General features: G+C 40.7%; 1 long non-coding RNA gene across 2 annotated transcripts in view, besides 1 other annotated feature; it reads left to right on the top strand.

Annotated features, from left to right (window-relative positions):
* Positions 1–24099, top strand: part of LOC105378575 (uncharacterized) — a 35536-nt gene extending 11437 nt beyond the window's left edge. For both annotated transcript variants that reach the window (XR_946512.3, XR_007062396.1), the window contains exons 3-5: positions 1195–1303; positions 6234–6310; positions 22682–24099. This is a non-coding gene — a long non-coding RNA (uncharacterized LOC105378575). The remainder of the gene's footprint in view (positions 1–1194; positions 1304–6233; positions 6311–22681) is intronic.
* Positions 17921–18000: a silencer, noted in NCBI's record as "silent region_2983". NCBI's record gives its function as "represses an Ori minimal core promoter by ATAC-STARR-seq in GM12878 lymphoblastoid cells {active_cell/tissue: GM12878}" and the evidence as "EXISTENCE:reporter gene assay evidence [ECO:0000049][PMID:35858748]".
* Positions 24100–24796: the final 697 nt, after the last annotated feature.

Genomic DNA, 24796 nt, shown 5'->3' with positions numbered 1-24796 from the left:
CTGCAGCCTCAATCTCCTAGGCTCAAGCAATCCTCCCACCTCAGCCTCCCAAGTAGCTGGGACTACAGGTGCGTGCCACCAAGCCTGGTTAATTTTTTTTTTTTTTAGAGACAGGGTCTCACTATGTAGCCCAGGCTGGTCTGGAACTCCTGGCCTCAAGCGATATTCCCACCTTGGTCTCCCAAAGCACTGGGAAAGTTTAATTTTTAATGAAGTATGACGTATATGTCAAGGTTTATTTGTTTTGCATGTGGACACTCGATTTTCCCAGCACTGTTTGTTGAAAAGACTACCCTTTGTCCATCAAGTTGCTACTGCACCTATGTAAAAACAGGTATATTTGTCTGGGTCTATTTCTGGGCTGTCTATCCTGACCCATTAACTTGTCTTTGTCTTTCACCAAAATCATACTCTTTTTTACTGTACCTCAAGCTGAAGGACTCTTGCTACCCAGTTTACATCTTTAAATTGGGCAGCGGGAATAAATTAGGTAACGAGAGTCCTACAACTTTGTTCTTTTTCATAGTTGTTTTGACCATTCTAGTTCCTTTGCCTTTCTGCATAGATTTTAGAATTATTTGATCAATATCTGATTGCTAAGATATTGATTAGAATAGCATTGAATTTATAGATAAAACTGGGGACAATTGATGCACTAACAAGAATCTTTTCCAACCCATGAACATGACATATCCTGCATATATTTTATTAAATTAATATCTAAGTGCTTCATATGTTGCTATTGTAAATGTTTTTTAAACATTTAATTTTATTTAAAAATTCTAGTTTCCTATTTAGTTATTCATTGCTGGTACATAGGAATACAATTGCCTTTTGTACATTGACTTTATATTCTAGTCTTGCTAAACCCATTTATTAGTTTCCAGTAGCTTTTGGGGGTAAATATGTAGGGATTTCCATATAGATAATTATATAACCTATGAATGAAAACAGATTTATTTCTTCTTCTCCAATCTGCCTGCCTTTTATTTCTTTTTCTTGACTTACTGCACAGTATTGAATAGGAGTGGAGATATGGTTTGGCTGTGTCCCCACCCAACTCTCTCCTTGAATTGTAATAATCCCCACATGTCAAGGGCAGGGCCAGGTGGAGATCACTGAATCATGGGGCAGTTTCCCCCAGACTGTTCTCACAGTAGTGAATAAATCTCACGAGATCTGATGGTTTTACAGATGGGAGTTCCCCTGCACAAGCTCTCTTACCTACCACCATGTGAGATGTGACTTTGCTCCTCCATCGCCTTCCACCATGACCATGAGGCTTCCGCAGCCATGTGAAACTGTGAGTCCATTAAACCTCTTTCCTTTATAAATTAGCCAGTGTCAGGTATGTCTTTATTAGCAGCGTGAGAGCACACTAATACAAGTGGTGCGAGAGGAACTGTTGACATTTTTTCCAGTCTTGGGGGAAAGCATTTACCCACTTATCTTCAAGTATGATGTTAGCCGTAAGTTTTTGTAGTTGCCCTTTGTTAAGGTAGGGACATTCTTTTCTATTCCTAGAATGCTGTGAATTTTTAGTGGGAATGGAGGATGAATTTTATTGTTTTTACAGTATTTTTTGAAAAGACAATATAATTTTTCTTATTCAGCCTGTTAATACAGAAAATTACATTAATTTTCCCATTTATTATTTTTTAAAATGTATTGAGGTGAAATTCATTTAACAGAAAATGGATCGTTTTAAAATGAACAACTCAGTGGCATTTCGTACATACACAATATTGTGCAACCGCCACCTCTGCTTCCAAAACATCCTCATCATTCCAGAATAAAACCTCATACCCATCAAGCAGCTTCTCTCCATTTCTCCCTGCTCCTAGTCCCTGGCAATCACCAGTCTGTGTTCTGTCTTTAGGAATTGACCTATTCTGGCTATTTCATGTAAATGGAGTCATACAGTTTCTATTGCTCTATCTTCAAGTTAGTCTTTCCTGAGCTGTGCCAGTTTCCTGGTGAGCCTTTTGAAGGCATTTTTCTTCTCTAGTGCTGTGGTTTAAAATTTCTATTGTTCCCATGACGTTCATGTTTATAGTTTCCAGCTCTCTGCTAAAATGACCTACCTGATCTTGCGTATGGTCTGTCTTTTTCATTAGGACCATTAGCATATTACTGAGTTGTTTTAAATTCCCTTTCTGATAGTTCCACCACCTGTGTCATATCCGAGTCTAGCAGTAATGATTATTTTATGTCTTCTGTTTTTCCTTGCTTTTTTGCATACTGGACATCTTGTGTAAGACAGTAGATACTAAGGTCAAAAGTGTTTTATGCTTTGAGAAGAGCACACATTTTATTTTGCTAGTTCTTTATGTGTGGGGGCTTGTGCTCATCTTAATGGGGGTTAGGCTGAGTCGCAAGTTTGTTGTTTCTGTGTGAACATGTACCAGCAGCTCCTGATTCCCCTAGACATACTTCGAGTTTGTCTGCATGCATCGCTTTCGCTCTCTCTTTGCTCCTGGGAGAGAGGCTCTCTCTTGCAGCTCCACCAGCTCTATTCCACTGATATTTTTATATGATGCTTGTCAGTGAGATTATGGAGTGTGGAGGAGGACAGCATTCCCTGAGGTTCTAATTTAGCCTCAGTCTTCGGCAGACCCTGTCTTTCCAGCCCTTCCAAGCTCCAGGAATGCTGTGGGATCGCCTGTAATTTTCAGAGGCAGAAGTTCCTCCTTGATTGTGTCCCTCCACAGAGCACTAGATAAGGAGAGAATCAGTAACTTCCACTTATGCAACATCTTTTAAAGTAATTTTCTAGCATCTATTTCTGAGATTTTAAGGACAATCATGGCATGGAGACATCCTATAATACTCCAGTGGCATCTTGAAATTGCCAAGACTGTGAGAAGCATTTCAGAAACCTGGGGAATTATTTTCTGGATTTAAATCATGTGGAAGTTGTGGTGCTTTTAATATATTTATCTCATTTGGATGTTTCATATGCAGAAGATATGTCAGTTGTATTCATAGCCTAGGAAATAGAGTCCTGTCTAACACTCCATAGTTTGTATTTTTTAAACTTAAAACTCTATTTACAAGGACAATCTTCTGTGTCGTATATTTTGTAGGTTAATATATGCCCAGAAACAACTCCCACAAAGCCCAGACTCCTCAAGTGCATGCCAGGGAATAACCTTTGTATGAAATCGAATGATAATATGTTGCAAGAGTTAGATCAATTTGCAAAAGAGTCCGTTAAATGATGATGACAGCACAATGTGAAAAGCTGGCAATAAGGCACTTCCAATAATAGATATGAGGACATCACCAGTGTACATCAGTTTCAAAAGTTCTTACTTTTTTCAGTAATCTGATTTCAATTTCTAATTAATGAAGATTGGGGAAGTTACCTTTTAACTATTTCTAACTTTGTTGACTTAAGATCAAAGAATGTGGACTGTAAAGTGTTTACTTTTTATAATTTGATAAGGTTTACTTTGTTCCCAAGTACAAAATTGATTTTTGTAATTGGGACATGAACACACAAACAAAACGTTATCTTCTGTTTAAAAAGTAAGTTTAATGATTACATTATTCAGTTTTTTCCATATTTGCTTCTTGTACTAAATTTGTCCAATTCTGAAACTGTGTTTTGAAGGTTGCCACTGTCATAGAACTATGGTCTAGTTCTTTTTTTATTTCTAGTAGATCTCAGTTCAAATATTTAGTTCCATGTTTTTGGTAAATAGAGATTTGTGGCTGTTACATCTTCTTCATAAATTATGCCTTTTATAATTGTCTACTACCTCTCTGTGTCCTGTTTAGTGCATTTATCTATAAATACTGCAGCTGTTGTAATCTCAATACTATCAAATACATAAGGAAAAGTATGCTAAGTGTATAGCCTGATGGGTTATCACAACATGAGTGTGGCCATGCCGAAGGGCTTTCAGAGTAGAAACATCACCCGCCCTCGGAAAAACATCACTGGCTGTCACCAACTCCTCCCCTAGTCCTAGGGGAGTTTATCCTACCTTTTAATACCACAGAATAGTCCTGGCCACTTTTAGACTTTATGTAACATTCGCTGAATCACACAGTATGCATTCTTTGTGTCTTAATTCTTTTACTTAGCTTCATGTTTGTGTGATTCACTCATGTTTGTGAACTTAACTTCATGTTTGTGTTATTTGTAGAAGTAGTTCATTCTTTTTCACTGCTATATATTATTCCACTCTGTGAGTATAGCATGATGCATCAATTATACCCCAAACAATACTGTTTTTTCTACTTTTTCACTATGCAAATAATGCTGTCATGAAATTTCAGTGCCTGCCTTTTAATGCACCTGCGTTGCTTACCTCTGTTGTTTATATATCTAAAAGTGAAATTGCTGTAACGTAAGGTAAGCACAAGTCATAAGTCAAGCTTCTATGCATGTGTGAGTCTGCACTTTGTGTGGCTCCATTGGTTTATTTGTCCCTCCTTGCACCAATCCCACACTGTCTTATTTAGAACATTTTAAAAATTACTCTTGATATCTGATAGTGTAACTCTTCCAACTTTGTTCCTCTCCTAGGGGATATTCTTGGCCCTTTGCATTTCTACCTACATTTTAAAGTCATCTTGTCCATTTCTACCAAAAACTACTGAAATGTCTGGAATCGCACTCAATCTATAGATCAATTTGTGGAGAACGGATATGTTGCAACAATGACTGCTCTAATTCATAAACATGGTATCAGTTATTTCTGTGCAAGGAAACTCCCAGAACTCTCTCCTAATCCAGACTAGGCTGGGATGAGTGGCCTGTTGCAGGTGGGGTGGGTGGAGTGGTCCTGCCTTCCTGAAGGTCTTGTGTGGCTCTGCTTCACATCTCTCATGCTTTTTGGAACAGTTGAGGAGCTGACACATGTGTCCTCATGACCGTGGCAGGAGCACCTTCTCAGACACCTCCTTGCATTGGTTGCTCACTGTTTTAATCATGCACTGTTGGGTCTGACATGAATTTGGAGAAATATGTGACCTACCAAAGGCCTCGAAAGGCATATCTGGGGTCTCTGCATTCTCTTCATTTGTTGCAGACAAGTTGTTCAAAGCTAAGATTCAGGATGTGATGGTGCTCATGGCAATTTCCCTGCTGCACTAATTTTGGAATTTTCTTTTTTGTTCCATTGTTATTCTTGGCTAGTTTCAAAAGAGGAGAGTATAATAAAAATGACACGCATCTACTATCATTAAACAGAAGTCTCCATACTACTTTCCGTTCTTTTATTTTTCAAAATCATCATATGTAAAATAGACTTCTTTTCCTTTGGTGTACAGATCTATGAAATATAATGCTATTATATGTATTATATATATTATATTTATAATATAGAGTATATTTATTATATTTATTGTAGTATATATTATATTTTATGTAACTCCCACCATAAACGGGTACAAAACAATTCCCTCAATGCAATTATTTATCAGTTCTAGTAGTTTTGATGTAGTCTTTATGGTTTTCTGTACGTAATATCATGTCATCTGCAAACAGGAACCGTATTATTTCCTCCTTTCCAATCTGGATGCCTTTTATTTCTTGCTCTTGCCTAATTACTCTAGCTAAGACTGACAGTAGTACTACGTTGAATGGAAGTGGTGAGAGTGGGCATCCTTGTCTTGTTCTTGATCTTAGATGGTTTGACGCTTGTCTATAGTGATATGCTTTGACTATTTTCTTCTTATCTTTTGTGTATCTACTACAGATTTTTGCTTTGTGGTTACTTGAGGCTTGCAGAAAACATCTTATGTTTATAACCAGCTATTTTTAAGCTGATAAAAGCTTAATTTTGATTGCATAAATAAACTCTACATTTCTACTCCCCCACCTCATATTTTATGCTTTTGATGTCACAATTTATATCATTTCATCATTTGTATCTCTCAACAGATTATTGTAGCTATGGTTGTTTTTAATTGCTTTATCTTTTAACCTTTGTACTAGAGATAGAATTGTTTTACAGAAGACCATTGCCTGATTACTAGTTTGAATCTGACAATGTACTTACTTTTACCAGTAAGTTTTTTATTTTTGTATTTTTATCCTATCAATTAGTATCCTTTTAATCCAGCTTGAAGAATTCCTAGAATTTCTTGTAAGGCACATCTAATGGTGATATCCTTCCTCGACTTTTGTTTGTTTGAGAAAGTCTTATTCTTGCCTTCATTTTTGAAAGATAGTATTACTAGGTATGGTATTCTTGGGCAGTAATTTTTTTTTCTTTTAGGATTTTGAATATATCATCCAGCTCCTTCCTGGCCTATAAAGTTTCTGGAAAAAGAAAATCCATGGATATCTTACACGGTGGGCATCCCTTTTGTGTAACTATTTGCTGTCCCTTGTTGCTTTCAAAATTCTCTCTTTGTCTAAATTTTTAACAATTTGATTATAATATGTCTCAAATGTGTGTCTCTGGATTTTTCCTATTTGGTGTCATCTGAGTTTCCTGAATCTTGATTTCAATTTATTTCCCTAAGCTTGGGAGGTTTTTCCCCATCATTTCTTTGAATATGTTTTGTGTCCCTTTCTCCCTCTCTTCCTCCTGGTCTACCAATTCTGAATATATTGTTCTGCTTGTTGAAGTCCTGTAAGCTATCTTTTTCATTCTTTTTACTTCTAGGATTGGATTATTTCCAATGACATGTCTTTAATCTCACTGGTTCTCTCTTTCACTTAATCTGGTCTGCTGTTGAACACCTCTACTGAATTTTTCAGTTCAGTTATTATATTCTTCAGTTTTATAATTTCTATTGGCCGCTTTTGAAATACTTTCTATCTCTTTTTTGAAATTATTTGTTTATGCATTTTTCTCCTGACCTTAGTGAACATCTTTATGACCATTATTTTGAATTCCTCATTGGGTAGATCATACATCTCCACTTCACTAGGGTTGGTTTCTGCAGATTTATCTTGATCTTTTATTTGGAACCCATTTCCCTGTTTTTCTATTTCCTTTGTTTCTCTGTATTAGTGTCCGTGCATTACATAAGACAGCAGCCTCTCCCAGTTCTGTCAGACTGTGAGACTCCCAGTTCTGTCAGTGTAGGAGAAGGCCCTCACCAATTGGTCCAGAGATTCTGAGGTGCCTCTTAAATCCTGGTTTGTCCAAACCACTGTCTCTGATTTTAGTGCCCCCCGACTGCCCACCGTAGAATTTTACAATGTGCCAAGTCCTGTCAGTGCCTTGAGATAGGTAAGATAGAAACTAGATGCAGTTGGAAAGATTGGAGTGTTAAATATATGTTCCAGTTTCTTCTTTGCTCAGGGTGAAGCTAAGAGCAAGAGTTTATCTCCCACTCTCTATGCACTATGTCAGAAGAAGGATCTGTGACAAGTGTCTGCATTTTCATGCAGAATGCACCCTCTGATAGTCACTAGAAGTTGGATTGTTGAATGTACACTTCTTTATTTTCTGTCGTCCACGGAGACTCAGAAATGCAGAGACCCACCAATTCCCAAAGTTAGGTGGTTAAGGAGGCACTCCTCCGGGTGGGAGCTGTAGAAGTTGTGGCACTTGGTGCACAAACTACTTCTAAAAGGAATCTACAGAGCTGGTTTTATCACTGGGGTGAGGTGGAGGGAAAGGCTTGGGAAGTGCCTGAACTCTCATTCAGAATCCTGGAGGTCTATCGTTTGTCGGCCCTGTTGGCTCCCAGATGCAGGCTAGATAGGAGCCTGATCCTTAAGCAGTAACTGGAAAATTGTGCAGACTAACCCCTTCCAGGGAGAAACTGGAAGGCGTGTATTTAACCTCTTGTCTGCATTGGTCCTTGCGGGTGTAACTCCTATAAGTGCTTGCATGCCCATTTTTTTTCTTTCTTTTTTTTTTTTTTTTTTTTTTTGAGACGGAGTCTCACTCTGCCGCCTAGGCTGGAGTGCAGTGGTGCAATCTCGGCTCACTGCAACCTCCGCCTCCTGGGTTCAAATGATTCTCTTGCCTCAGCCTCCCGAGTAGCTGGGATTACAGGCATCCGCCACCACACCCGGCTAATTTTTGTATATTTAGTAGAGACAGGGTTTCACCATGTTGGCAAAGCTGTTCTCGAATTCCTGACCTCAGGTGATCCACCTACCTTGGCCTCCCAAAGTGTTGGGATTGCAGGCGTGAGCCACCGCGCCCAACCTTGCCTGCCCATTTAAAACTACCTCTTTGTACCGTAATCTAGGGAGACTAGCAAATGCCAAGACGCTTTCATTCCCAGAGTTAGACAGTTTAGGATGCAGTCTTTTGGGTGGGAGCTGTAAAAGTTGGGGCAGTCAGTGTGTGGACAAACCTCTTCCAGAAAGAATGGGTAGATCTGGATATATCACAGGTGAACCACAGGAGAGGAGAAGGCTTAAGATGTGCTGAGCTACTGCTTAGCCTCCCGGAGGGCTATACACTAGTCCCCCTTATCCGTGGGTGATACAGTCCAAGACATTCTGCAGATTCCTGCAGCTGTGTATGGCACCAAACCCTATATATACTGTGCTTTGTTTCCTATACATACCTATGATGAAGTTTCATTTATAAATTAGGCACAATAATGAAGGAAACATAATAACTAATTATAAAATAGAACAATTATAACAACATATGGTGATAACAGTTATTTAAAACTTACAAACTGTCTATTTCTGGAATTTTCCGTTTAATATTTTCAGACTGCAGTTGGCCATAGTTAACTGAAACTTTGGAAAGAAAAACCATCAATAACAGAGGAATATTGTAGTTTGTCAGCCCGGTTAACTCCCTAATTCAGGCTAGTTAGAAGCTCTGCTGTTAGCAGAAGTTGGAGGAGTATACCAACAAACTCCTTTTAGGGTTTTGCTACTTTGTTCTGTGGTCTAGGGAGACTTGTGTATGCCTAGTCCCTTCCACTACCAGAGCTAGGTGAATTAAAAGTCAAACCATGGGAACCTTGGAGCTAGGGTCATATACATGTGGTCCATACCCTTCTCTCCTCAGGGAGAAGTTATGTGTTGGGAGTTTTTCCTGGTTTATGGTGCAGTACCCAGGGTGATATTTGTGCCTGCGTGTGCCTCAGCTTTTTCTACCTGCTTGATGTGAATATTTTCTCAGTTGTCTGCTGTGTAAGAGACTCTCAACTTTTTCTGACTTTCTCTCAAAGAAAATTTATCCATGTGTAGGTGTTTATTCCACGTGTCCATGGGTGGAGGGAGAGGTAGAAGTCTCCTGTGCCACCATGTTGCTGATGTCACCTCCCAGTAAAGTTTTCTAAAACAAATTACTTGACCATAAAGCCCAGAACAACAAGAAGTGAATCAAAATAAAACTTAGACAATGGGGTTTTCTAGAAATACAATCATGTCATCTGCAAACAGGGACAATTTGATTTCCTCTTTTCCTAATTGAATACCCTTTATTTCCTTCTCCTGTCTAATTGCCCTGGCCAGAACTTCCAACACTATGTTGAATAGGAGTGGTGAGAGAGGGCATCCCTGTCTTGTGCCAGTTTTCAAAGGGAATGCTTCCAGTTTTTGCCCATTCAGTATGATATTGGCTGTGGGTTTGTCATAGATAGCTCTTATTATTTTGAAATACGTCCCATCAATACCTAATTTATTGAGAGTTTTTAGCATGAAGGGTTGTTGAATTTTGTCAAAGGCTTTTTCTGCATCTATTGAGATAATCATGTGGTTTTTGTCTTTGGCTCTGTTTATATGCTGGATTACATTTATTGATTTGCGTATATTGAACCAGCCTTGCATCCCAGGGATGAAGCCCACTTGATCATGGTGGATAAGCTTTTTGATGTGCTGCTGGATTCGTTTTGCCAGTATTTTATTGAGGGTTTTTGTATCAATGTTCATCAAGGATATTGGTCTAAAATTCTCTTTTTTGGTTGTGTCTCTGCCCGGCTTTGGTATCAGAATGATGCTGGCCTCATAAAATGAGTTAGGGAGGATTCCCTCTTTTTCTATTGATTGGAATAGTTTCAGAAGGAATGGTACCAGTTCCTCCTTGTACCTCTGGTAGAATTCGGCTGTGAATCCATCTAGTCCTGGACTCTTTTTGGTTGGTAAGCTATTGATTATTGCCACAATTTCAGATCCTGTTATTGGTCTATTCAGAGATTCAATTTCTTCCTGGTTTAGTCTTGGGAGAGTGTATGTGTCAAGGAATTTATCCATTTCTTCTAGATTTTCTAGTTAAGCTGATAAGCAACTTCATCAAAGTCTCAGGATACAAAATCAATGTACAAAAATCACAAGCATTCTTATACACCAATAACAGACAAACACAGAGCCAAATCATGAGTGAACTCCCATTCACAATTGCTTCAAAGAGAATAAAATACCTAGGAATCCAACTTACAAGGGATGTGAAGGACCTCTTCAAGGAGAACTACAAACCACTGCTCAAGGAAATAAAAGAGGATACAAACAAATGGAAGAACATTCCATGCTCATGGGTAGGAAGAATCAATATCATGAAAATGGCCATACTGCCCAAGGTAATTTACAGATTCAATGCCATCCCCATCAAGCTACCAATGACTTTCTTCACAGAATTGGAAAAAACTACTTTAAAGTTCATATGGAACCAAAAAAGAGCCCGCATCGCCAAGTCAATCCTGAGCCAAAAGAACAAAGCTGCAGGCATCACACTACCTGACTTCAAACTATACTACAAGGCTACAGTAACCAAAACAGCATGGTACTGGTACCAAAACAGAGATATAGATCAATGGAACAGAACAGAGCCCTCAGAAATAACGCCGCATATCTACAACTATCTGATCTTTGACAAACCTGAGAAAAACAAGCAATGGGGAAAGGATTCCCTATTTAATAAATGGTGCTGGGAAAACTGGCTAGCCATATGTAGAAAGCTGAAACTGGATCCCTTCCTTACACCTTATACAAAAATCAATTCAAGATGGATTAAAGACTTAAACGTTAGACCTAAAACCATAAAAACCCTAGAAGAAAACCTAGGCATTACCATTCAGGACATAGGCATGGGCAAGGACTTCATGTCTAAAACACCAAAAGCAATGGCAACAAAAGACAAAATTGACAAATGGGATCTAATTAAACTAAAGAGCTTCTGCACAGCAAAAGAAACTACCATCAGAGTGAACAGGCAACCTACAACATGGGAGAAAATTTTCACAACCTACTCATCTGACAAAGGGCTAATATCCAGAATCTACAATGAACTCAAACAAATTTACAAGAAAAAAACAAACAACCCCATCAAAAAGTGGGCGAAGGACATGAACAGACACTTCTCAAAAGAAGACATTTATGCAGCCAAAAAACACATGAAAAAATGCTCATCATCACTGGCCATCAGAGAAATGCAAATCAAAACCACAATGAGATACCATCTCACACCAGTTAGAATGGCAATCATAAAAAAGTCAGGAAACAACAGGTGCTGGAGAGGATGTGGAGAAATAGGAACACTTTTACACTGTTGGTGGGACTGTAAACTAGTTCAACCATTGTGGAAGTCAGTGTGGCGATTCCTCAGGGATCTAGAACTAGAAATACCATTTGACCCAGCCATCCCATTACTGGGTATATACCCAAAGGACTATAAATCATGCTGCTATAAAGACACATGCACACGTATGTTTATTGCGGCATTATTCACAATAGCAAAGACTTGGAACCAACCCAAATGTCCAACAATGATAGACTGGATTAAGAAAATGTGGCACATATACACCATGGAATACTATGCAGCCATAAAAAATGATGAGTTCATGTCCTTTGTAGGGACATGGATGAAATTGGAAATCATCATTCTCAGTAAACTATCGCAAGAACAAAAAACCAAACACCGCATATTCTCACTCATAGGTGGGAAATGAACAATGAGATCACATGGACACAGGAAGGGGAATATCACACTCTGGGGACTGTTGTGGGGTGGGGGGAGGGGGGAGGGATAGCATTGGGAGATATACCTAATGCTAGATGACGAGTTAGTGGGTGCAGCGCACCAGCATGGCACATGTATACATATGTAACTAACCTGCACAATGTGCACATGTACCCTAAAACTTAAAGTATAATAAAAAATAAAAATAAAAAATAAAAATAATAAAATAAATAAAACAGAAATAAAGAAGCTAGAATCAGAGGTTTCTGATCATATATACTGGTAGCCACTATATTTATAAAATATGAGAGTAAACAATTTTGGCATAGACTGTAAATGATATGAATTCTGACAAGATAACATAGGCAGACACCTCCTCATTTTTCATGGCAAGGAATGCGTTCATGTTGTCTAAAATTAAAATCTGTTTAGATACAACCAGTCTTCAATGTTTTTGTAAACTTCAGTGTATGTTCTAGGACACAGCAACAATCAGGGAGCTCCTTGCCTAAGTGAATGGCCATATTTTATTTCTTTTGAGATATATTTATGCTATAGTTTAGATATTAGACCTTCCAGACCTCATGTTGAAATATGATCCCCTGTGTTGGAAGTGGAGCTTAATGGGAGGTGTTTGGGTCATGGAGGTGGATCCCTCATGAATACATTAATGCCCTGGTGTAGTGACTTCTCACTTTATTAGTTCGCCCAAGAGATGGCTGTTGAAAAGAGCCTACCCATGATGGTTAATACTGAGTGTCAATTTGATTGGATTGAAGGATTCAAAGCATTAATCCTGGGTGTGTCTGTGAGGGTGTTGCCAAAGGAGATTCACATTTGAGTCAGTGGGCCGGGAAGGCAGACCCACCCTTAATCTGGTGGGTACCATCTAATGAGCTTCCAGCGAATATAAAGCAGGCAGAAAACCATGAAAAGGTGAGACTGGCCTAGACTCCCAGTCTATATCTTTCTCCCATGCTGGGTGCTTCCTGCCCTCGAACATCAGACTCCAAGTTCTCCAGTTTTGGGACTCAGACTGGCTCTCCTTGCTCCTTAGCTTGCAGATAGCCCATTGTGGGACTTTGTGATCATGTAAATTAATCTTAATAAACTTCCCTTTATATGTATATATAGTGTGTATATATACTCTAGAGAACCCTGATTAATACAGATTTTGGTACCAGGAATGGTTCTAGAGGAACAGAATATTAAGGATGGAGTTCTTTCATTGGTTTTTGGGTTTCTGGATTTGGCTGCTTAATATGATTAGGTGCAAAAATGCTAAGGTCTATACTTCTAATAGTATGTAAAACACTGCTAGTCCTTGGCATAAACTGTTTAGTAAGTTATGCAAAATAAATGCATTTGACACTCCTGATTCACCACCGCGTGTGAGAGGCAAGGAGTTAGTGACTCTGTACATAATACCTTTGACCATATGTGGGGAACCAAGAAACATAATGAAACTGGTTAGTTGCTCCTAAGTTCAGTGGACAAAGTGATGAAAGCAAATGATGAACTCAGGGATTCTGTCTCCTGGCTTCAGAGGCAGATACTGAGCCTCAAATCTGCTAAGGTTGCCCTGAATGAGAGTCTCATCTCTTTCAGTAAAGAGCTGAAATTGTGGAAAAACAGATGCAAGCTCTTATCATTTGAGTGGCTGACCTGCAATGAAAGATGCATGCACAGCCTCACCAGGTGTCTACTGTTAAAGTGAGTGCATTGACTGGAAAAAAATGAGATCCTCAAACTTGGAATGGGGACGTTTGGGAGGACCCTGATGAAGCTGGAGACACTTGAGTTCATAAATGCTGATGAACTTTTTTGGCCAGAAGAAACAGCTTCCCCATCCCCAGTAGTGGCAACATCCCCTCCCCGACCCATGCTGCCATCAGCCTTTCCACCTTTGTCTGAAGAGATAAACTCTGTGCTGCCTGAGACAACAGTGATGGCCTCCCCTGAGGCAGATGCCAGGCAAGATAATGTTGATTCTCCTCAGGAGCTACCCTCCAACACCTCTGTTTGCTTCTAGACCTGTAACTAGATTAAAGTCCTGGTGGGCACCTAGAGGTGAGGTTGAGAGTGTGACCCATGAGGAGGTGCACTACACTCAAAAAGATCTGCTTCAGTTCTCTAATTTATATAAACAGCAATCTGGAGAACAGGCATGGGAATGGATATTAAGGGCATAGGATAATGGGGAAGGAATATAGAGTTGGATCAGGCTGAATTTATTGATTTGGGCCCACTAAGTAGGAACTCTGCTTTTAATGTTGCAGCTTGGGGAATTAAAAAAGGTTCTAATAGTTTGTTTGATTGGTTTGCTGAAATATGGATTAAAAGATGGCTCATTGTGAGCGAGGTGGAAATGCCTGATCTCCCTTGGTTTAATGTAGAGGAAGGGATCCAAAGGCTTAGGGAGATTGGGATGGTGGAGTGGATTAGTCACTTTAGACCTACTCATCCCAGCTGGGAGGGTCCAGAAGATACACCCTTGACCAACGCCTTGCAAAATAGATTTGTGAGGGCAGCACCTGAATCTTTGAAGAGCCTTGCAATTGCTTTTCTCTGTATGTCAGATCTAATGGTGGGAGCCACAGTCACTCAACTACAAAACTTAAATATAATGGTAACAATTGGATCCCGAGGTGGCAGGGGCCAAGTGGTGGCACTCAGCTATCAAAAGCAAGGTGGGCATAGCTATCATAATGGACAGCAGAGGCAAAGCGGCAATCAGAATAGTCTGACTCGTGTAGAGCTCTGGCATTGGCTAATTAATCATGGTGTTCCTAGAAGTGAAATTGATAGAAAGCCTACTGCATTCCTACTTAATTTATACAAGCAGAAAACTTCTAGGTCGAATGGATAAAAGACTAATTTGAATTATAAAAATGTAGAATCATGGCCTCTTAATCAATTTCCAGACTTGAGCCAGTTTACAGATCCAGAACCACTTGAATGAAGGGGAAGCCAAGTTCCCATTAGGAAGGACCCTACTACATTACCAGCAATTTATGCAGTGAATCTTTCTCCCATCCTTCCCCAAGGAGACCTCTGGCCTTTTACCAGGATAACTGTGCGCTGGGGAAAGGGAAATGATCAGACATTTCAGGGACTACTGGACACTGGCTCTGAGCTGACATGGATTCCAGGGGACCCAAAACGTCATTGTGGTCCTCCAGTTAAAGTAGGGGCTTATGGGAGTCAGGTAATTAATGAAGTTTTAGCTCAGGTCTGACTTACAGTGGGTCCAGTGGGTCTCTGGACTCATCCTGTGGTCATTTCCCTAGTGCGAGAATGCATAATTGGCATAGACATACTTAGCAGCTGGCAGAACCTTCACATTGGCTCCCTGACTGGTAGGGTGACGGCTACTGTGGTGAGAAAGGCCAAATGAAAGCCATTAGAGCTGCCTCTACCTAGAAAAATAGTAAATCAAAAACAATATTGTGTCCCTGGAGGGATTGCAGAGATTAGTGCCACCACCAAGGACTTGAAAGACTCAGGGGTGGTGATTCCCACCACATTCCCATTCAACTCTCCCATTTGGCCTGTGCAGAAGACAGATGGATCTTGGAGAATGACAGTGGATTACCATAAGCTTAACCAAGTGATGATTCCAATTGCAGCTGCTGTACCAGATGTGGTTTCATTATTTGAGCAAATTAACACATCTCCTGGTACTTTGTGTGCAACCATTGACTTGGCAAATGCCTTTTTCTCCATTCCTGTCCATAAGGCCCACCAGAAACAATTTGCCTTCAGCTGTCAAGGCCAGCAATATACCTTTACTGTCCTACCTCAGGGGTATATGAATTATCTGGCTTTGTGTCATAATCTTATTCAGAGAGAACTTGATCGCTTTTTGCCTCCAAAAGATATCACACTGGTCCATTACATTGATGACATTATGCAGATTGGATCCAGTGAGCAAGAAGTAGCAAACACTGGACTTATTGGTGAAACATTTGCATGCCAGAGGATGGGAAGTGTATCTGCCTAAAATTCAGGGACCTTCTACCTCAGTAAAATTTCTAAGGGTCCAGTGGTATGGGGCCTGTAGAGATATTCCTCCTAAGGTGAAGGATAAGTTGCTGCATTTGGCCCCTCCTACAACCAAGAAAGAGGCACAATGCCTAGTGGGCCTATTTGGATTTTGGAGGCAACACATTCCTCATTTGGGTGTGTTACTCCAGCCCATTTATTGAGTGACCTGAAAAGCTGTCAGTTTTGAGTGGAGTCCAGAACAAGAGAAGGCTCTGCAGCAGGTCCAGGCTGCTGTGCAAGCTGCTCTGCCACTTGGGCCATATGGCCCAGCATATCCAATGGTGCTTGAGGTGTCAGTGGCAGATAGGCATGCTGTTTGGAGCCTTTGGCAGGCTCCCATAGGTGAATCACAGTGGAGGCCTCTAGGATTTTGGAGCGAGGCCCTGCCATCTTCTGCAGATAACTACTCTCCTTTTGAGAGACAGCTCTTAGCCTGTTACTGGGCTTTGGTGGAAACTGAACGTTTGACTGTAGGTCACCAAGTCACCACGCGACCTGAACTGCCTATCATAAACTGGGTGCTTTCTGACCCATCTAGCCATTAAGTGGGTTGTGCACAGCAGCATTCCGTCATCAAATGGAAGTGGCACTAGGGAAATGACCACAGGATGGAAGTGGTATATATGTGATCAGGTTCCAGCAGGTCCTGAAGGCACAAGTAAGTTACATGAGGAAGTGGTTCAAATGCCCATGGTCTCCACTCCTGCCACCCTTCCTTCTCTCCCCGAGCCTGCCCCAACGGCCTCATGGGAAGTTCCCTATAATTAGTTGGGCCTGGTTCGTGGATGGTTCCGCATGATATGCAGGCACCACCCAAAAGTGGAGAGCTGCAGCACTACAGCCCCTTTCTAGGACATCCCTGAAGGACAGTAGGGAAGGAAAATCTTCCCAGTGGGCAGAACTAAGAGCAGTGAACCTGGTTGTGCACTTTGCATGGAAGGAGAAATGGCCAGATGTGTGATTATATACTGATTCATGGGCTGTAGTTAATGGTTTGGTTGGATGGTCAGGGACTTGAAAGAAGAATGATCGGAAATTGTGACAAAGAAATGTGGGGAAGAGGTATGTGGATGGACCTCTCTGAGTGGTCAAAAACTGTGAAGATATTTGTATCCCATGTGAGTGCTCACCAATGGGTGACCTCAGCAGAGGAGGATTTTAATAATCAAGTGGATAGGATGACCACTTCTGTGGACACCATTCAGCCTCTTTCCCAAGCACCTCTGTCATTGCCCAATGGACCCGTGAACAAAGTGGCCATGGTGGCAGGGATGGAGGTTATGAATGGGCTCAGCAATATGAGCTTCCACTCACCAAGGCTGATCTGGCTATGGCCACTGCTGAGTGCCCAATTTGCCAGCAGCAGAGACCAACACTGATTCCTCGATATGGCACCATTTCTCAGGGTGGTCAGCCAGCTACCTGGTGGCAGGTTGATTATATTGAACCTCTTCCATCATGGAAAGGGCAGAGATTTGTCCTCACTGGAATAGATACTTATTCTGGATATCGGTTTGCCTATCCTGCACACGATACTTCTACCAAGACTACCATCTGTGGACTCATGGAATGCCTTATCCACCATCATGGTGTTCCACACAGTATTGCCTCTGACCAAGGTACTCACTTTACGGCCATAGAAGTGCAGCAGTGGGCTCATGTTCGTGGAATTCACTGGTCTTACCACGTTGCCCATCATCCTGAAGCAGCTGGATTGATAGAACGGTGGAATGGCCTTTCAAAGTCACAATTGCTGTGGGTGGCAAGCCACCCAGGTGCCAAGGCAAGAGACCGAGGACACGAGCTGTTCCAGTATAATAAAATATAAAATAAGAATAGTTATACCAGAGATAGATCTTAGATATGATTATATATGAATATCATTAATCATTAGTAGCAATTACTCTTTATTCCAATATTATAATAATCCTCACTCTATAATCATAAACTAGGAAAAACCAGGCCATACAGAGATAGGAGCTGAAGGGACATAGTGAGAAGTGACCAGAAGACAAGAGTGTGAGCCTTCTGTTATGCCCAGACAGGGCCACCAGAGGGCTCCTTGGTCTAGCGGTAACGCCAGCATCTGGGAAGATGCCCATTGCCAAGCAGACCGTGGTCTAGCAGTAGCGTTAGTGTCAAGGAAAAACACCCGCTACTTAGCAGACCGGGAAAGAGAGTCTCCCTTTCCCCAGGGGAGTTTAGAGAAGACTCTACTCCTCCACCTCTTGTGGAAGGCCTGACATTAGTCAGGCCCACCCACAGTTATTCGGAGGCCTAACCGTCTCCCTGTGATGCTGTGCTTCAGTGGTCACACTCCTAGTCTGCCTTCATGTTCCATCTTGTACACCTGGTTCTGCCGTTTAGTTAGCAGTAGCAAATTAGTGAAAGTACTAAAAGTCTCTGATAAGCAGAAATAATGGTGTAAGCTGTTTCTCTTTCTCCTCTCTCTCTCTGCCTCGGCTGCCAGGCAGGAAAGGGCCCCCTGTCCAGGGGACATGTGATCCATGTGGCCTTCCCTATCATTGGAGATGGCCCACACTCCTTATCCTGCCCCTTTGTCTTGTATCCAATAAATATCAGTGCAGCCTGGCATTCGGGGCCACTACCAGTCTCCGCATCTTGGTGGTAGTGGTCCCCCGGGCCCAGCTGTCTTTTCTTTTATCTCTTTGTCTTGTGTTTTTATTTCTACGCTCTCTCGTCTCCACACAGAAGGAGAAAATGCACCAACCCTGTGGGGCTGGACCCTACAATTACCATGTCAATTAGATGACAATACTTTGCAGGGCTGGGGCAAAGTACTCTAGAAGGCTGTGTATGCACTGGATCAGCATCTGATATATGGTACTGTTTCTCCCATAGCCAGGATTCACGGGTCCAGGAATCAAGGGGTGGAAGTGGAAGTGGCACCACTCACCATCACCCCTAATGATCCAGTAGCAAAATTTTTGCTTCCTGTTCCTGCAACATTACGTTCTGCTAGCCTAGAGATCTTAGTTCCAGAGGGAGTAACACTGCCACCAGGAGACACAACAACAATTCCATTAAACTGAAAGTTAAGATTGTCACCTGGACACTTCGGGCTCCTCCTACCTTTAAGTAAACAGGCTAAGAAGGGAGTTACAGTGTTGGCTAGGTTGATTGACCCAGACTATCAAGATGAAATCAGTCTACTACTCCATAACAGAGGTAAGGAGGAGCATGCATGGAATACAGGAGATCCATTAGGATGTCACTTAGTATTACCATGCCCTGTGATTAAGGTCAATGAGAAACTACAACAGCCCAATCCAGGGAGGACTACAAATGGTCCAGACCCTTCAGGAATGAAGGTTTAAGTCACTCCACCAGGAAAAAAACCTTGATCTGATGAGGTGCTTGCAGAAGGCAAAGGGAATACACAGTGGGTGATAGAAGAAGGTAGTCATCAATACCAGCTACGACCACATGACCAGCTGCAGAAATAAGGACTGTAAAAAGTATTAACCCTAGGTGAGTCTGTGTGGGTGTTGCCAAAGGAGATTTGAGTCAGTGGGCTGGGGAAGGCAGACCCACCCTTAATCAGGTGGACACCATCTAATGAGCTTCCAGCAAATATAAAGCAGGCAGAAAAACATGAAAAGGCAAGACTGGCTTAGCCTTCCAGCCTACATTTTTCTCCCATGCTGGATGCTTCCTGCCCTCAAACATCAGACTCCAAGTTCTTCAGTTTTGGGACTTGGACTGGCTCTCCTTGGTCCTCAGCTTGCAGACAGCCTATTGTGGGGACCTCGTGATCATGTTAGTTAATATTTAATAAACTCCCATTTACATATATACATATATATATACATATATAATATTTATCCTATTAGTTCTGTCCCTCTAGAGAACCCTGACTAATACAGATTTTGGTACCAGGAGTGGGCTGTTGTGTTGCTGAAAAGATACCCAAAAATGTGGAATTGACTTTGGAATTGGGTAACAGGCAGAGGTTGGAACAATTTGGAGGGCTCAGAAGAAGATAAGAAAATGTGGGAAAGTTTGGAACTTCCTAGAGACTTTGCCCAAAATGCTGATAGCAATATGGACAATAAAGTCCAGGCTGAGGTGATCTCAAATGGAAATTAGGAACTTGTTGGGAAGTGGAGCAAAGGTGACTCTTGTTATGTTTAACAAAGGGACTGGCAGCATTTTTCCCCTGCCCTACAGACCTGTGGAACTTTGAACCAGAGAGAGATGATTTAGGGTATCAGGTGGAAGAAATTTCTAAGCAGCAAACATTCAAGAGGTGATTCAGGTGCTGTTAAAGGCATCCCATTTTATAAGGAAAGCACAGCATAGAAGTTTGGAAAATTTGCAGCCTGACAATGCAATAGAAAAAGAAAATCCCATTTTCTGGGGAGAAATTTAAGCCAGCTGCAGAAATTTGCATAAGTAACGAGGAGCAGAATGTTAACTCACAAGACAATGGGGAAAAGACATGCCTCTCCAGGGCATGTCAGAGGTCTTCACAGCAGCCCTTCTCATCACAGGCCTGGAGGTGTACAAGATAAAAATGGCTTCCTGGGCTAGGCCCAGGGTCCCCATGCTGTGTACAGCCAAGGGACTTGGTGTCCTGTGTCCCAGCTGCCCCTAGCCATGACTAAAAGGGACCAAGGTAAAGCTCCAGCCATGGCTTCAGAGGGTGCAAGCCCTAAGCCTTAGCACCTTCCACATGGTGTTGAGCCTGTGGGTACACAGAAGTCAAGAATTGAGGTTTGGGCACCTCCGCCTAGATTTCAGAAGATGTATGGAAATGCCTGGATGCCCAGGCAAAAGTTTGTTGCAAGCGCAAGGCCTTCATAGAGAACCTCTGCCACAGCAGTGCAGAAGGGAAATGTGGGGTCAGAGCCCCCAAACAGAATCCCTAATGGGGTAACCACCTATTGGAGCTGTGAGAAGAGGGCCACCATCCTCCAGACCCCAGGATGATAGATCCACTGATAGCTTGCACTGTGTGCCTGGAAAAGCCACAGACACTCAACACCAGCCCATAAAAACAGCCGGGAGGGAGGCTGTATCCTGCAAAGCCAAGGGGCGGAGCTGCCCAAGACCATGGGAACCCACTTCTTGCATCAGTGTGACCTGGATGCGAGATGTGGAGTCAAAGGAAATAATTTTGGAACTTTAAGATTTAACTGCCCTGATGGATTTTGGACTTGCATGGGGCCTGTAGCCCCTTTGTTTTGGCCAATTCCTCCCATTTGGAATGGCTGTTTTTGCCCAATGCCTGTACCCACATTGTATCTAGGAAGTAACTAACTTGCTTTTGATTTTACAGGGTTGTAAGCAGAAGGGAGTTTTCTTGTCTCAGATGAGACATTGGACTGTGGACTTTTGAGTTAATGCTGAAATGAGTTAAGGCTTTGGGGGACTGTTGGGAAGGCATGATTGATTATGAAATGTGAGAACATGAGATTTGGGAGGGGCCAGGAGTGGAATGATATGGTTTGCCTGTGCCCCCACCCAAATCTCAACTTGAATTATATCTCCCAGAATTCCCATGTTTTGTGGGAGGGACCCAGTGGGAGGTAATTGAATCATAGGGGCTGGTCTTTCCTGTGCTATTCTCATGGTAGTGAAAAAGTCTCACAAGATCTGATGGGTTTATCACGGGTTTCTGCTTTTGCTCCCTCCTCATTCTCTCTTGCCACTGCCATGTAAGAAGTGCCTTTCGCCCTCCACCATGATTCTGAGACCTTCCCCAGCCACGTGGAACTGTAAGTCCAGTTAAACCTCTTTCTTTTGTAAATTGCCTAGTCTCAGGTATGTCTTTATCAGCAGCATGAAAATGGACTAATACACTTCCCCTCTTTGTCTTGCTCACTCACTCACTCACTTCCCCTCTTGCCTTGCCATGTGATCCCTGCACGCCAGCTCCACTTCACCCTCCACCATGCATGAAAACAGCCTGTGCCATCATCGGATGCAAATGCTGGCACCATGATTCCTGTACAGCCTGCAGAACCATGAGCCAAATAAACCTCTTTTCTTTACAAATTACCCAGCCCCAGCTATTCCTTTATAGCAACACTAAATGGACTAAGACAATTGAGATAGAAACTTTAAGCACCAGCCAGCAGATAGGGGTTTTAAGAGTTTTGTTTCCCATTGAACCTACCAAATGCCCTGAAAACAATGTCAAGTATTGCCTCATTACATCTGCCTCTGCTGCAAGTTGTGATGTCATAATAGAATCATCCAGAAATCCTTTCATTGTTTTTCTTATGGAAGACTTGTGGACCCAAGGTGGCATTTAATCATAACTCTCTTGTCTAACTTGGAAACAAGAATTTACTCTCCTTCTCTTTTTTGTTCTTTCTTTCTAAAAAAAAAAAAAAGTGGGGGGCAGTAAGCATGATGTCTGAAGAAATAAATACGCCCTGGAGATTTGGAGGTATTATGTATTACCTCCCACATTCTAGATGCCCACTCTTTCCCTGGGAAGAAACACAGAGACCCTGATAAGCCCCTGATTTAAGAATAACAGACTAATCTCCAAGAAGGAAAAACTGAAATGAGGTTTGTCAGGGCGTTTTGTGCCCTCACAGGGTGAGGATATGTAGTAATGTAGTTTCTTGGAAACTAATCTTTATGAGAAATATTTTCCTGAACTTCTTTAGCTTCATCAGTTTCCTTTCTTTTTATTAGTAAATATAGCTAAAACTTGCTTTTAAAACATATATGATATTCTCATAAAATTTTATCTTTCAACCTAATCTAAGCAGTTCTCTAGCTATACAAATTTAACTTTCTTTCTGTATATGCAGAGAGACATGGAATCATGATTGGAGCGATGTCCACCAGATGTCAAAATAGAGTTCTGGATTCTTGTTTTGTATCAACTTTAATGAGATATAATTTCCATATAATAAAATGTACATATTTGTGTATAATTTGATAAGTTCTCAAAAGCTTATACACCCATGTAAACACCTCCACATCATGATACAGAACGTTTCAATTACCCTAACAAGCTCTTCTCTGCCCTTTTGATACAAATCCTTCATCTCAGCCCCAAGCAATCACTATTCTCTCACTTTACATTAGTTCTCTTATTGTGCAGTTTTATATAAATGGAATTATACAATATGAACTTATTTTGTATCTATCTTCTTTTGCTAATCTAAACACTTTTCAGATTCATCCATGTTGGTGCATGGATGAATGCATGCTAAGTCCTATTCCATTATATAGATGTATCACATTCATATAATTATACTCCATTATATAGATTGCTAAATCCTATTCCATTATATAGATATATCACAATTGTTTTGTCCATCATCTATTGATGGATATTTGTCTTAATTTTAGCTTTAGATTAATTTGGATAAAGTTGGGGTAAGCATAAATACATAGGCCTTTGTGTTGATATATGTTTTTCAAGCTCTTATATAAATCCCTAGGAGTATACGTTCAACTTTCTAAAAAAAGCCATTTTTTCCCCAAAGTAGTTTTGCCATTTTACATTTCCACCAGAAATTTACGGTTGTTGCAGTTGTTCTACATTGTTTCCAACACTTGAAATTGTCAGTTTCTTTAATGTTAGTGGGTCTCTAATGGTATCCCATTTTGCTTATAATTTCTAGTTCCTTGATGACTAATGACGTTGAACATCTTTTCACATGCTGATTGGCTATGCATATAAGTTCTTTTATGTAGGGTCTGTTTGTATCAGTTAACCATTTTAAAAAACAATTAGGTTGATTGTCTCCCTATTATTGAATTTTTAGAATTATTTATATAATATGGAAATACAACTTTTGTCTAATATATATGTTATGAATATTTTCTCCAGGTTTGTGGTTTGCCTTTTCATTTTCTTATCTATGTCTTTCAAAAAGCAGAGGTTTCTAATTTTTATAAAGCCTACTTTGTAAATTATTTTCTTTGGTGGTTTGTGCTTTTTGTGTGTGTACTACCTACAAAATTTTTGTATACCCAAAAGTTGCATATTTTTTCTAGTAGCTTTTAGTTTAGCTTTACTGTTTTGGTATATGATCTGTTTAATGTTCATATATGGTTTGAGGGAGGGATTATGGTTCATTCTTTTCTATATACATAACCAGTTATTTCTTTTCTATATATAAGTAACCAGTTGTTTCAACACCATTTTTGAAAAGATTATCTTTTGGCTGGGCATGGAGGCTCATGCCTGTAAACCCAGCACTTTGGGAGGCCGAGGTGGGCAGATCACGTGAGGTCAGGAGTTCAAGACCAGCATGGCCAACATGTGAAACCCTGTCTCTACTAAAAATACAAAAATTAGCTGGGCATGGTGATACATACCTGTAATCCTAGCTACTCTGGAGGCTGAGGCATAAGAATTGCTTGAACCTGGGAGACAGAGGTTGCCGTGAGCCGAGATCACACCACTGTACTTCAGCCTAGGTGACAGAGCAAGACTCCATTAAAAAAAAAAAAAAAGACTATCTTTTCCCTGATTAGATTAAACTGTATTGATCCTTCGTTAAAGATCAATTGACCATTTAGGTATAGGTTTATTCATTTCTGAATATTTATCCTTACATATTTATCCTTATATCAATAGCAGACTGTCTTTAAATAATAGCTTTAAAGTAAATGTTCAAATCAAGTCATTTTATTTCCCTAATTATGTTCTTTCTTGTTCTTCAAAATTGTGTAAAATACTATATGACATTTGAATAACCATATAAAATTTAAAATCAAATGTCAATTTCTAGGTACTAGTTCAATTTTGGAAGAACTGAAATATTATCAATATTGACTCTGCAATCATAGCGTGTATCTCCACTTATTTTTATCTCCCTTGAGTTTTAGCAACAATGCTGTGATCATAGTACTTAAGTCTTAAACACATTTTGCTAAATTTATCCTTATTTCATGCCTTTGATGCAATT

This window comes from Homo sapiens, chromosome 10 (genome assembly GCF_000001405.40).
Source record: "Homo sapiens chromosome 10, GRCh38.p14 Primary Assembly".
NCBI classification, from domain to species: domain Eukaryota; kingdom Metazoa; phylum Chordata; class Mammalia; order Primates; family Hominidae; genus Homo; species Homo sapiens.
Note: the sequence above shows the minus strand (reverse complement) of the source record. Positions and strands in the feature narration are given on the sequence as shown.